General features: G+C 36.7%; 1 protein-coding gene across 12 annotated transcripts in view, besides 1 other annotated feature; it reads left to right on the top strand.

The window, feature by feature from the left end:
* Positions 1 to 14,106, top strand: part of TRAPPC8 (trafficking protein particle complex subunit 8) — a 113,932-nt gene that overhangs the window by 34,971 nt on the left and 64,855 nt on the right. For all 12 annotated transcript variants that reach the window (XM_017025616.3, NM_014939.5, XM_005258234.4 and 9 more), the window contains 3 exons: positions 548 to 698; positions 7,133 to 7,233; positions 10,267 to 10,372. In XM_017025616.3, the coding sequence (XP_016881105.1) occupies positions 548 to 698; positions 7,133 to 7,233; positions 10,267 to 10,372 (358 nt within the window). The remainder of the gene's footprint in view (positions 1 to 547; positions 699 to 7,132; positions 7,234 to 10,266; positions 10,373 to 14,106) is intronic.
* Positions 6,826 to 7,026: a silencer, noted in NCBI's record as "peak3104 fragment used in MPRA reporter construct". NCBI's record gives its function as "represses an SCP1 promoter by STARR-seq MPRAs in K562 erythroleukemia cells {active_cell/tissue: K562}" and the evidence as "EXISTENCE:reporter gene assay evidence [ECO:0000049][PMID:32103011]".

The raw sequence follows: 14,106 nt of genomic DNA, 5'->3' as shown, positions 1-14,106 counted from the left end.
GTAAATCATATTAATTTTTTAAAAACTAAGTAATTGGACATCTAAAAACAAATGGGAAAGTCACTTTTGGTCTGTTTCCTTATTTGTAAAACAATGAAGTTAGACTAGGTATTCATTAGTAACCATTCTATATCTAAAATGTAATGGCCTGATGATTCTAAGACAAGGGACACATTTAATAAATTTTGCTTTACACAAAAAACCATTTTAAGGAAAAAATATAATTAATCCATTTTGGATTTTAATCTTTCTCCTGGTTGTATATAAATGTGAGTCACTTGGAATTAACCATTTACTTCATTATTTGACCATGGAGAAAATGTTTGCCTGCCATTCAGACATTCTCAGGGCTATAAATAATAAAACAAGGAACTTTCTGTTTCCAGGTATTTTTGAGAACTGACACTCTTGTTGGAGGTAGAATTTCTTTGAAACAGCATTAGTTTTCTTCATATTCTAGAAGAACATGGCAGCTTGTTAATGTATTTTATAATTTTAATGGTTTGGGGGGTAATAAATTATAAATTATTTTCTTTTGTATTTACAGGTATCCGCCGGAAGCACCAGAACTTCAAATCAGGAAAATGGCTGACTTATGTTTTTTGGTGCAGCATTATGATTTGGCTTACAGTTGCTATCATACTGCAAAGAAAGATTTTCTTAATGATCAAGCAATGCTTTATGCAGCTGGTGCCTTGGTTGGTATTCTATGGTATTATAATTCCTTAATTCTGCTACCATAAATTATTTAGAAATTTCTCTTGGTGGCAAACAGAATCCTTAGGGATAAAGTTGTACTCAAAGAGCATATAGTACTTTACAGATTGTTAATTCCTTAATGCTGAGTTGATGGATTTCCCTCAGACTAGTTGATTAGCTGGGTATGGTGGCACATGCCTGTAGTTCCAGCTGCTTGGGAGGCTGAGGCAGTAGAATTGCTTGAGCCCAAGCGTTTGAGACCAGCCTGAGCAACATAGTAAGATTGCATCTTTAAAAATAAATTGAAAAAACTTATTTCTTAAAAACAAAACCCAAAAAACTAGGTAATTAAAAAATGGTCATGTATTAGGGTTTCTTTCTTTATTAGTACTTTCCAACTTTTGCATCAGCTTTCAGAATTGTATTTCATTTTCTAATATATTTAAAATACAAAAATTTTTTTAGAAGTTTTTTTAAACCTTGACAAACATTTTTAAGTTGCTTGATGTATGACTTCATACATCAAGAACATGTACTTTGGTGTGAGACACTCTCTCATCTTAGGCAAGTTATTGAATATCTCTAAGCTACAGTTTTCTGACCTGTAAAATATGCGAATCCTAATGGTATAGGATCAGATAAAGTATAAAGCATGCACTTAGCATAATGCCTTATATATAATAAGCTGTCAGTAATATCAGTTGTGTTAGTTTTGTAATTGATTACAAAGCCAGGTATTTCCAAAGAATTTGCTATACTTGTTGCCTAAAACCTTTTAATGTTTTTGAAAAGTTACCACAGATATATGTGTAATCTGCTTTATGTGTTCAGAAAAGAGTAAAATTAGCACTGTTACTTTTTATTTAATCTTTTAAAAGACATGTAAGCTTATAAACAAAAGTGAAGAAAAAAGTTTATAAGAATAATTCATAGGTAATTGTGTAGATACTTTTTTTTAGCTAGAAAATATTCACAGGCTGACAGATACTTGTTTAATAACTGGCATTTGTTTTGCATTTATTTTAATACTGTGCATATATAAAATATGTAACTTAAAAATGGAAGCCAGAATAGCAAAATTATATTACTATTGCTTTCTGGTTCTCTAATTTTTTAATGAAAAAAGTCAGCCCACTTTTTTTTTTTTTTTTTTTCCTGGAGACAGAGTTTCAGCTCACGGCAACCTCCACCTCCCGGGTTCAAGATTCTTGTGCTTAAGTTTCCTGAATAGCTGGGATTACAGGCATGCCCGACCATACCCATCTAATTTTTTTTTTTTTTTTCGTATTTTTAGTATAGACAGGGTTTCGCTGTGTTGCCCAGGCTGGTCTCGAATTCCTGACCTCAGGCAATGTACTGTGCCCGGCCAACCAAGTTTTTAAAAACCTTTCATAGAAATGGAAAATATGCTATGTTCATGAGAAGTGTTTGAAAATATAAGTGAATTTTCCTTGGCTAAATATTCTCTGATTGCTCATTATAGTCATCCAATTTAAGCTAATATGAAATCACAAATACTTCATGTTATTATTAATACCTTATAACCTAGGTATGCATTTGTAATGAGAAATTTTTATTTAATGTACCTGCAAGTAGAATGTTTGATAAAAACTACATTTAAGCCATTCAACTGGAAGTATTAGTAGCTATTTGAGAGAAAATAATATAGCACTGGAAAATAAAGGCATATTTATTCTTAGATGATATATGTGCACCTGAAAATCACTTAGCCTTTAAAAGCTACCCTAAAAATAATGGGCTTCTGAGAAAAGTTAGACTGGGTTAGTCTTCTTGAAACCTATTCATCTTTGTAACCAGAGCACAAACAAAAACATTAAATGGTACCTTGGAAGATTACCTAAATAATCTAGATAGGCAGCTTAGCATGGCTGAGGATACCTCAGGGAATATAAAAAATAATTTTTTTATAGAGATGGGGATGAGCAAGAAGAGTTCCCAACCGATGGAGCTGCCATGAAGCTGATCATAGAAGAAAGTACAGCCTGCCCTGAGCCCAGAGCTGTGCAAGGCTGGTGGTGTACTTCTCTGGAGACACAGTCCATATGCACCAAAGTGTAGGCATTCAGTTTTTAGCAGCTGAAAGAGCGCCTTTCTGTGCAGCAGCTGAGCTCAGGGCTTTTTCCTTTCCTACTGAAGGATATAAGTTTATAATACTGCTATTTTTGATTCCCTTGCCTAAGAAAAATTATGTATGAATAAAAATTTAATTTGAACTGATATCACTTCCCTTACCATTCACATGTTAACTAATTGATAAGATAAAAATGTGTTGTAGTAGAATAGACTAGATCGTATGCCTTTTTAGATGAAAATTATAGAAGATATTTAGTCATAGTAACTACAAAGGCAAAATAAATATCACAGCAAAACCAGTAATAGGAATGCTTGCAGACTTTTTTTTTTTTTTTGAGATGGAATCTCACTCTGTTGCCCAGGCTGGAGTGCAGTGGCTTGATCTCAGCTCACTGCATCCTCCACCTCCTGGGTTCAAGTGATCCTCCTGCCTCAGCCTCCCAAGTAGCTGGGATTACAAGCATGTGCCACCACTGCCAGCTGATTTTTGAATTTTTAGTAGAAATGGGGTTTCACCAAGTTGGCCAGGCTGATCTCGAGCTCCTGACCTCAAGGGATCTGCCTGCCTCAGCCTCCCAAAGTGCTAGAATTACAGGCGTGATCCACTGGGCCTGGCCAAGAAAACATGTTTTAGAGCTGTACGATATTTTGTCACATGGATATTATGTATTTTATTTAGCTTCTTCAGTGAATTTTAGAGCAGATACTGCTGAGTGCTGAGGATACAGAGGCATTCTAAAATAGATATCGTTCATATTGTCATTCATGGAACTATCAGGTTAAAGGCTTTAATCATATTTCAGTTCTCAAATCATTATTTGTTTTTTCTTCTATTTTAAAAAATGTTGCAGAGAAGTACATTTGTTTGTCTTAAAAGTGAATTATGGCTTTCCCATCCTGCTATTCTCCCCTCTCAGCCTCCCGAATAGCTGACATTACAGGCATGTACCACCACACCTGGCTAATTTTGTATTTTTAGTAGAGACAGGGTTTCTCCATGTTGGTCAGGCTGGTCTCGAACTCCAGACTTCAGGTGATCCACCCACCTCGGTCTCTCAAAATGTTGGGATTACAGGCGTGAGCCATTTCCATTAAAACTTAGGTTCTTTTTTCTTTTTTTTTTTTTTTGGAGGCAAGGTCTTGCTCTGTTGCCCAGGCTGGAGTGCAGTAGTGCGATGACAGTTTATGCAGCCTCCACCTCCTGGGCTCAACTGATCCTCCTACCTCAGCCCCCCACAGTAGCTGGGACTATAGGCATGCGCCACCACGTGTGGCTAATTTTTATATTTTTTGTAGAGATGGCATTTTGCCATGTTGTCCAGGATTGTCTTAAACTCCTGAGCTCAAGCATTCTCCCTGCCTTGGCCTCCCAAAGTGCTGGGGTTACAGGCATGTGGCACTGTGCTTAATCTTCATTTCTAAATCCTTTAACCACCATTGTATATTATTTGAATTATTAACTAAAGTCCTAGTTATTGCCAGTAGAATGAGTTTGTTTTTTTTTTTGATACAGATCTCAGTATGTTGCCCAGGCTAGTCTTGAATTCCTGGGCTCAAGCACTCCTCCTGCCTCAGCCTCCCAAAGTGCTGGGATTACAGGTGTGAGCCACTGTGCCCATCCAGAATGAGGTTTTAAAATGAAATATGATCTAGGAAATTGACAGTAATAATAGGCTTAAGAAAAATGGTCTTTGCACTGTCTATAAGATAGTGGATATAAACTAGAGTTTGTAATTGGCAGAATATATTGATAAGGCAAGCCGTTGTGAGCTCTGATTTTATATTGTTGCCAATAAATTGGAAAGAGATGTACTTTATTTCTTCTCTTTGTGATCCATCATTGGTCTGTTCTCTACTTATTGAAGGTTAGGGAAGAACAGGGAGGAGGGTGATAGTAGAAATCTTAAGCTAGGCTAATCTGGTAGTATATATACACCATAACCCAAAGTGTTTACTAGGTTTTTTTGAAAATCTCATTTATATATTGAATGGGAGACTTCAGATATTAACTAGAGAATTTTAAGATTGAAAGCTTATATAAATGTATTACTTATATTACTGTCGTAGATAATTCTTCTGAAAGTACAACCCTAAATCATTCTTGTCGTAGCCTCTGCTCTTTTTCCACCAGCAAATACTTGGAAATTCCTTCTTGGAGCATTGTGGGCCAAAGCTTCTCTCTGGGTGGAAAATTGTTGCCACTTCCAGTGTCACAGGGAAAACACACACACACACACACACACGCACGCACGCACGCGCGCAATCAAAAAGCAGGACACTGGAGAGGAGTAGGGGCTATTTTCTTTTTTTTTTTTTTTGAGATGAGTCTCGCTGTCACCCAGGCTGGAGTGCAGTGGCACGATCTCGGCTCACTGCAGGCTCCGCTCCCCGGGGTTCACGCCATTCTCCTGCCTCAGCCTCCCGAGTAGCTGGGACTACAGGCGCCCGCCACCTTGCCCAGCTAATTTTTTGTATTTTTAGTAGAGATGGGGTTTCACTGTGTTAGCCAGGATGGTCTCGATATCCTGACATCGTGATCCGCCCGCCTCGGCCTCCCAAAGTGCTGGATTACAGGCGTGAGCCACCGCGCCTGGCCAGTAGGGGCTATTTTCAAACAGAAAACCCGGCAAATGGGTTAGAGGAGAAAAGCCCCAGCTGTGCAAAGTGGAGACTGACTCCCCCATCTCCAGTGGCAACCTAACACGCTGGTTATGTTGGGCCTGGCCAACCTTTTTTCCCTTTGTCTCTATAACAGATGATACCACAACCAAAACTGTGTTACATCTCAGCATATCAGAGGCCCATGGAGTAAACATAAATGGAAATACCTTTCAAGCTAGTTTGGAAAAATAGATGGCTTAGATAAACTGACTATTCAACCTCCCACTTAAAGCTGTTAGGCAGAATATCTGGGAGAACACTGGGGGTAAGATGCTGCTTAACAGAAATAACCTCTTGCTGTGACCAAGAGGTTGCTCGGACCAGTGTAGGGTCAGCATACTTTGTTGTTGTTGTTATTGTTTGTTTGTTTTTTGAGACCGAATCTCACTCTGTTGCCCAGGCCAGAGTGCAGTGGCACTATCTCGGCTCAGTGCAACCCCCGCTTCCCGGGTTCAAGCGATTCTCCTGCTTCAGCCTCCTGAGTAGCTAGGATTACAGGCACCTGCCACCACTTCTGGCTGTTGAGGGTGTTCAGGAATTTTTGTATTATTATTAGAGACAGTGTTTCACCATGTTCACAAGGCTGGCCTCCAACTCCTGATGTCAAGTGATCCATCCGCCTAAGCCTCCCAAAGTGCTGGGATTACAGGCATGCGTCACCACACCCGGCCAGTTCAGCATATTTTTGGTGGGAAAAGATAACTGTCAAATACTACAGTGACAAAGAGGAAGGGGAAACATGAGTAGCTCTAGAAAACAGAAGATTAAAAAATCTGGACAAAATAAAAGTGATGGACAACACACCTAACCACTAGGCCTGACCAAACATTCACCCATAAGCACATTGTATATACGTGCACCCACTCACACTGCCACACAACATTCACGTAGACGCCCAAAGGAGGACAAATCCAAATGTCTGCTCTGGAATTTCCATGGCAAATCTGAGTTTAGGCAAAAGTGAAGACCTCCCTGGGGTCTAAACAAATCTTAGGAGGCAGTCTTTGCTCCCCATGTAGCCAGTGGTGCCCTTATATTTGCCTGAGCCTTTCGTAATTGTCTGGACACCAGAATTCATTCTTCATTTTCCTGGAGTTTAACTGCTAAATCTTATCTGATCTAACTTTACCTGTAATGGAAGCCTCTCCCTTTTGATCTCTGTATTCCCCATGTTCTTTCAGGAAAAACACATCCCAAAACAGTGGTCATTAGAGGGTGTTCAGAAATTGGAAAGTAGAAAGAGAATAATATAAATACAATAAAGAAATGCCTGTTACTCTCATGATTTCTCTGAGACCAGTTGGCCAAGGATCCACTAGTCTTTAAGGATATGTTTTAAAGGCCTTAATTGAAGGTACTGCAGTCTTTGCTCACAAGAGCCAAGTAAGACAGTGCTACTTGGAGGTTTCTGTAAGACTCTTACTCATTACTTAACTTGAATTCTAGGTGCTCTTTTGACCTCTCTGACTTCAGTCCTTCCAGAGTCAGATCACCCATCTTCTCTGAAGAGTGACTGGGCTACAAATGTGTTTTTCAAGTCTGCATTAGGCTATGAAGTTTATACATGTGTATCCAGTTAAAAAAAAAACAGCAAATTTCATTCCAACTTTTAGTTTCCCATCTAAACTGTAAGACTGTTTCTTCTTTTGAAATATGTAAACTATGTCTTTTATTTTAGGAAATGGCAGCAGTGTCTGCTTTTCTTCAACCAGGAGCACCTAGGCCATATCCTGCTCATTACATGGATACAGCAATTCAGACATACAGAGATATCTGCAAGTAGGTGACTATATAAGATTTATATTGTATCCAGTTAAAGGTCAGTTTGTTCTTTTTTTTTTTTTTTCCCCATTCCTAAACTCCCAAATCAAGTTAATATAGTCGGAGACAAGTTGAGGTGATTTTTAAAAAGTTAGTGTTTTATTATACCTTTTTCTTTTCTATTTTGTTTGGATTGGTGGTTAGGAATGTGTTATGTAATGTTGAGATTATATGTTACATTGAAGGTAATTTGTATTGTGGGGACATTTCTAGCTTTAAACTGCTATCAAGTTAGGAATTAGTCATTTTGCATTTTCTTTGTTAAATAGGCAAAACACAAATAGTTAAACAATATTGTATTCATAGTGCTTTCTGTTGGAACCCTATAAAAGTGAGAACTCACCACCTATGAGGAGACTATGAGCTGGTCCCCAGTGGTCAGGGGAGATTTCATGGGATATTTGATGGATAGACCTTGAAAGAAAGGTGGTTAGGACTTGATAACCATGAAGACGTATCAGGAATTGTGATTGGCAGGCATAATGTTTTAGATGTGCATTACTGGCTAAAGAGAAGAAAGCCCTGGCTAGGTTGGAAGGTTGCTGTATAGGGAAAGTACTGGATGATAAATTTGGAAAGGAGGTTTGAGATAAATCTGTGTGAGGAACCTTTACTGTCATGTATTATTTTTTTGTTTCTGGTTTTTTTTGAGGAGGAGTCTTGCTCTGTCGTCCAGGCGGGAGTGCAGTGGCGCAATCTTGGCTCACTGTAACCTCTTCTTCCTGGGTTTGAGTGATTCTCCTGTCCCAGCCTTTGGAGTAGCTGGGATTACAGGTGCGCGCCACCATGCCTGGCTATTTTGTATTTTTAGTAGAGACGATTTCACCATGTTTGCCAGGCTGGTCTCGAATGCTTGACCTCAAGAGATCCACCCACCTCGGCCTCCCAAAGTGCTGGTATTACAGGCATGAGCCACCATGCCCAGCCCATGTTTTTTTTTGAGACAGTCTCGCATTGTCACCCACCTGGAATGCAATGGTGTGATCTCAGCTCATTGCTACCTCCACCTCCTAGGTTCAAGTGATTCTCCTGTCTCGGCCTCCCAAGTAGGTGGGATTACAGGCATCTGCCACCATGCCCAGCTAATTTTTTGTATTTTTAGTAGAGAAGGTGTTTCACTGTTTTGGCCAGGCTGGTCTCAAACTTTTGACCTCATGATCCGCCCACCTTGGCCTCCCAAAATCCTGGGATTACAGGTGCGAGCCACCGCGCCAGGCCCATGTATTATTTTTATTAAGCTTCAGTGAAGACTTACGTAGTAGTAAATGGAAAATTACCGAATATTTGAGTAGAGAGTTGACGTAATAAAAGTTATTTTTCGGAAAGATTAATCCGACTTATCTGTTGTTTCAGAATAGATGCACTGGAAGGCAGATATAGAGGCAATTTTGACCCCTATAAGACCCCTATAATGTTGAAGTAAAAGTAGTCATCGTAATGGTAACATGGTTAGAACAAAACAACATCATTAATAAGATAATAATAAACATTTTTTGAGTGTTCAGCATTCGCCACCATGCAGAAGAAATCTATATGCTCATTTAGTCTTAATAACAAACCTCTGAAATCGTGAATGCTATTGTTATCCTCATTTTACAGATGAGGAAACTGAAGTAATTGACCATATGGGATAAATGGTTTTGGAATCAAACATAAATAAGTAAAATAAGTGTTAAGATTTAAGGGAGTTTATAAAATTTACTGAAGACAAATCTTTAAGAACTGAACCTATTATATAAGTAGTTGCTAGTATATAGGAGTTAGTCTTTTGTGTTCATCAAAACAGTCTTAGGTATTCATAAATATCTAACCTCCAAGAAAAGGTGTGATTTGTAGAAAGTTTATGACAAGTCAGTATAGTAATTTTTGAATTTTTGAAAGGAGTAAATTGTGTTTCAAAAATAAATACTGTTCATCGTTTAGAATGGGTTTCCAAAGTAAATTCAAGTTAGCAAGCTTTAGTTATATTAATAATTTTAAAGCCAAGTGATATTTTTGATTCTATAAGGATTAGAAAGTAAAAAGAAAAACTTTTGCTGCTGTTTGCCAGCAATAGGATTCCATCTTGTAATTTCATAGTAAGAATGTTTTCATTTGTTTTTATTCTTTTCTAAAATGGATAATCTAATTCTAGATTACTGATGTAGTAGTCCACAAAATCAACTGATTATGTTTTTACAAAAAAAACTAAAATTGGATCAGGAATCAATCAGACAACGCTGGCTGTAAGCCATCTCCAGCAGAAATATCCTAATGGTACTACCAGGGGGAAAATACCTAAATATTTCTCAAAGTAGCCAGCAAAATGAAACACAGTCAGAATTTGCATAGGGAAGGAGAAAGAAATAATGTGTGACATGTTTATATTTTTCTGTTCAAAGCAGACTTTGTTAAATAGGTTCTGGAACCAGTTCTAGCTTTTTTGCATGCAGGAGATATGACTTTGCATTGTATTCTTACTGCCAAATTACATGATAATGAAAAGTTTTGATGAGTTATAAGAAGTCTTTGAAGATTTTTTTAAAAAACCTTTTTGGTAGGTGCAAAACAAGGACATAGACTTCTTTTCTTCTTTTTACAGTCAGCCCTATGTATCTGCAGGTTCTGCATCTGCAGATTCAACTAATTGCAGATTAAAAATATTTGGGAAAAAACCAACAATAAATAATAACAATACAAAAATTTAAAATACAAATAAAAAATAAAGTATAACAATGATTTACATAGTATTTACATTGTAGTAGGTATTATAAGTAATATAGAGATTATTTAAATTATATAAGAGGATGTGTATGGGTTAATAGGCAAATGCTATACAATTTTATATAAGGAACTTGACAAACCTTGGATTTTAGTATCCTGGAGGGTCCTGGAACCATCTCCCTGCAACTATCCTCTAAAACTGTAATTGGAATCTTTTGCTGAACACATTTACTTTGATGTGCTAAGGTATTATTGTGCTATTTTATCTTCTTGTCCTTTTTTCTATAGGAATATGGTGTTGGCTGAAAGATGTGTGTTGCTTAGTGCTGAACTTTTAAAAAGCCAAAGCAAATATTCAGAGGCTGCAGCTCTCCTAATACGGTTGACCAGTGAGGTACTGAAACTGTGTAGTATTTGCTTTAATTAGCATTGTTCTTTTTTTTTTAAAAAGATGTATCTTTTTTCTTGAAAGGCTTTACAAAACATAAAATTAGCCAGGGAAATCTGTCTTTGGGAATTTACAACATGGCTATTTTAGTTTTTTGTTGAGTTAATTTTAAATGTAATTTTTTATAAATTAAGTTTATTTACATATTTTAAGCCTACATTTCATTATTAACTACAGACATGTATTGAGCATACTCTGTGACTTATTACGTTTTGTCCTTTGAATAAGAATATTGAAAACAATATGCATGTGCATTGTTCCTAATATAAAATGATATTTTATTTTTTGTTACTCATATTTTGTTATCTGAGTCTGCTTGCTAGGGAGATAAAGCTAATTTTAAAAGATTAATCACTGAGGAATTTTTAGTTTTACTTTCAACTAGCATGAACTTTTTAAGAAAATCATCTTAAACATTTAAAAAACCTATATTGTGAATATTTTAAAAGAGAAAAAAGTAATTCATTTATAGTTGTTGAAGATTTTACAACAAATATTATTGAGTTACATTGACTGCAGGCTTGTAAAGAATGGTAGTAATTCCTTTATAAGTACTGTTAATAACACATTTTTTAGATGAATACTGAAGAACGAAGGAACAAAATCAAACACCTCCTTTGTTTGCTCCTTAAATGTTAAATTATCCTAGGATTTTAATCCTTGGACCAATGCACTTTTTAACTCTTTACGTTTTGGGGATGATCTTGTTCACAGCCATGCTTTTCACTTTCAAATCTGTCTTCAACCCTGACCTTTCCTTGAGCTTTAGATTTGTATGGCCAACTGTCTTTAAGATTTATCTACTTGTGGCCAGGCATGATGGCTCATGCCTGTAATCCTAGCACTCTGGGAGGCCGAGGCGGGCAGATCACCTGAGGTCAGGAGTTTGAGACCAGCCTGGCCAACATAGTGTAATCCTGTCTCTACTAAAAATACAAAAATTAGCCAGGCATGGTGGTGCACACCTGTAATCTCAGCTACTCAGGAGGCTGAGGCAGGAGAATTGCTTGAGCACAAGGTGGAGGTTGCAGTGAGCCGAGATCGCACCACTGCACTCCAGCCTGGACGACAGAGCGAGACTCATTTGTCTCAACAACAACAACAACAAAGATTTATCTACTTGCGTGTTTCCAAGGCATCTTAAATTAACATATAAATAAACCCATAAAATTTTTTACCTAATATATCATGATCTTAAATTATGTTATCACTAACTAGCCCTCTATTTGCTCAAGGCAGAAATGGCTTGAGATATTCCTGTATTCTCATATCCTGTCTGTAATCCAGTGCAGAATGGAGGTGGGGGTGGGGATGGGAGTAATTTTTGTTTTCAAGCTCTTAAACATTATTTATTTAATTAAAACAATTTTAACCTTTAAAAATATATTTTCTTTTTGTATCTCCAAATAGTTTACTTCTCTCTCTTTCTTTTGTTGTTGGTTTTTCTTAAACTTCTACTGTTCTAGTTCTCATTCTTAATATTTTCTCTTTGGGACTGCGGCCTTTTTCCTTTTGCTTTGCCTAATTTACTAGTCATGATACCAGTTGTGTACTTCAGATAGTCTTTCCTAATACACCTGTTTGTCCTAAGTGTCTCTGTTCTTCTCTCTCATACAATGCTGTAAAACCTGACTTGTCATATTATATTATATTGGAAATTATGTTTAAGCTTCTTAAGCTGTTAGCTTCTTGAGGGCAGGGAACCGTGTTGCCTTCTGTTTTTATTCTTGTTGCCTAACACTGGCCTTGGCACATGGATTAGATGCTCTACAAGTGTTTGTTGTAACTGAACCATTAATTCTTCTACAAAAGTTTCTGTAAGGTCTAACTAGTTAGGTTCAGAAGTGATATTTAAAATGTTTAATAATTGTTATTGCATGGACACTGACTAATAAATATGAACAGATAACAGACAAACTATTTGTAGAGCTGAATAAGGCTTTTGAGTATTTTGATATTCTCTATTATAATAAATAATCTTAACTTGGATTTGAATGTGTTGCCGTGTTCTTCAACCTAAGGATTATCAGTGAATGTAAAAAGAATTTATGGTTCAGGAGCTTCAATAAAATTCCTTTTTTTCTTCCTTGCTTAAATGATTTCAATATGCCATTCTATCCACATATGTGAATAAAATTTCTTCAGAGCAAGTTCTCCTGTCTGCATTATAACCGTGTTATTTTTTGTCATTTTTCTCTTCTTTCCAACTCTTTGTTTCCACTTTTCTTTCTCAAATCTGGATGATTTGTTTTATCATGAAAGTCTAGAAAATGTATCATTGTTATTTGCTGCCATGTGGTGGGGAGAGGGGGCAGGTGGTGGTGCACGTACCCAGAAATCGTGATTCTTAATGGCCTTTTCTGCTATACCTTTCATAAATTTCTTTGAGATAACTTGAGACTAATGATTATTAGGCATGTTTATAAATTATGTTAAATCTTTACCAACAATTTACATTTACTGTATGTATTTTGTTAACTAGAAAGGCTGTATAATATCAAGAGATGTACACTGGTTTTGAAGCTGGAGAATTGAGTTACATACTCTTGACATTCCTGAGCTGTGTTCCCTAGATTTTTGCTAATACCGTCATAGCAAAAGATAGTTAATGAGGCCTAGGCAAAAGGAGGAGCTGTGCTTTGACTTTGTGTACTGCAAATTTTTGGTCAAGTGAATCATATTTTTTGTTTTATGCCCTGGGATTCTCAGAATGGCAGAGCAAACCCAGTTTAATGGTGAAACATGCTACCTTTATCACCGCATAGGATGTATATGAATTTGGTGCTTAAGACATACCTACTTGTGTCTGTTTCTGTGTTGAACACTTATTCTGGTCTTATAACCCATTTTTTCTGTTACTATTTTAAATATGAAAAATCAGTTTCTAGGGATGCTAATACCAGTTTTTTGTAAGTTTCTTCAGCTTAGGAGTAACTGGTCTTATGGGAAATTTATCAGCTGATAGCACCTTTCCTGTTAACTTCACAAGTATGCAGAGATGAAATCTTAAAAGCTTAGAGCCATCTTTTGTTTGATGTTTGATTCAGTTAATTAGCTGCAACTGGTGGCTTTATCAACTGTGTTTTTATTGAAATGTTAATTGAGGCCTCTACCTCAGGTGATTTTTTTTTTCCTGTACATACTCTCATATTTTAAGTTATTGTTATCTTTTTATCTTTTGTTAAAATTATCTCTTGGTTGTGGAGAATTTTCATAGGCCAGAGTTCTTGTTGAAGTGCTATCAACAGATTTTTTTTTCTTAGTTTCTTATAGAACATAAACAAAACTTGTTATTCGATAGTATGAAATACACCACTGTATTAAAATTGTATCTTTCAGTTCATTTAAAGCCTTTGCTTTCTGGATAAAACCATCACTTTGTAAAAATCCTTTTATTTCTCTTCCATCAACACTGATACCAGTTGTCATTCTTTTCAGGGCAATTTTCCTCCTCTCAAAACAATGTTTTTACCACTTTGGGTGTCACAGTAAGAGTCAGGGTCCAATGAAGAATAAAGCTGGACCAAGATATGAAAACATGGTATTCAGCTCTAGAAACTGATTCTCAGTCAGTCTAGAAACTGATTCTCCACATGCAAGAGTCAAAATTTTGTTTCAGCCAAATTAATACCATGGAAGGCCATGGACTTCCACATCTGCCTTCAGTTGGTCAGTTCTTG

The sequence above is a fragment of the Homo sapiens genome, chromosome 18, assembly GCF_000001405.40.
Source record: "Homo sapiens chromosome 18, GRCh38.p14 Primary Assembly".
NCBI lineage: Eukaryota > Metazoa > Chordata > Mammalia > Primates > Hominidae > Homo > Homo sapiens.
Note: the sequence above shows the minus strand (reverse complement) of the source record. Positions and strands in the feature narration are given on the sequence as shown.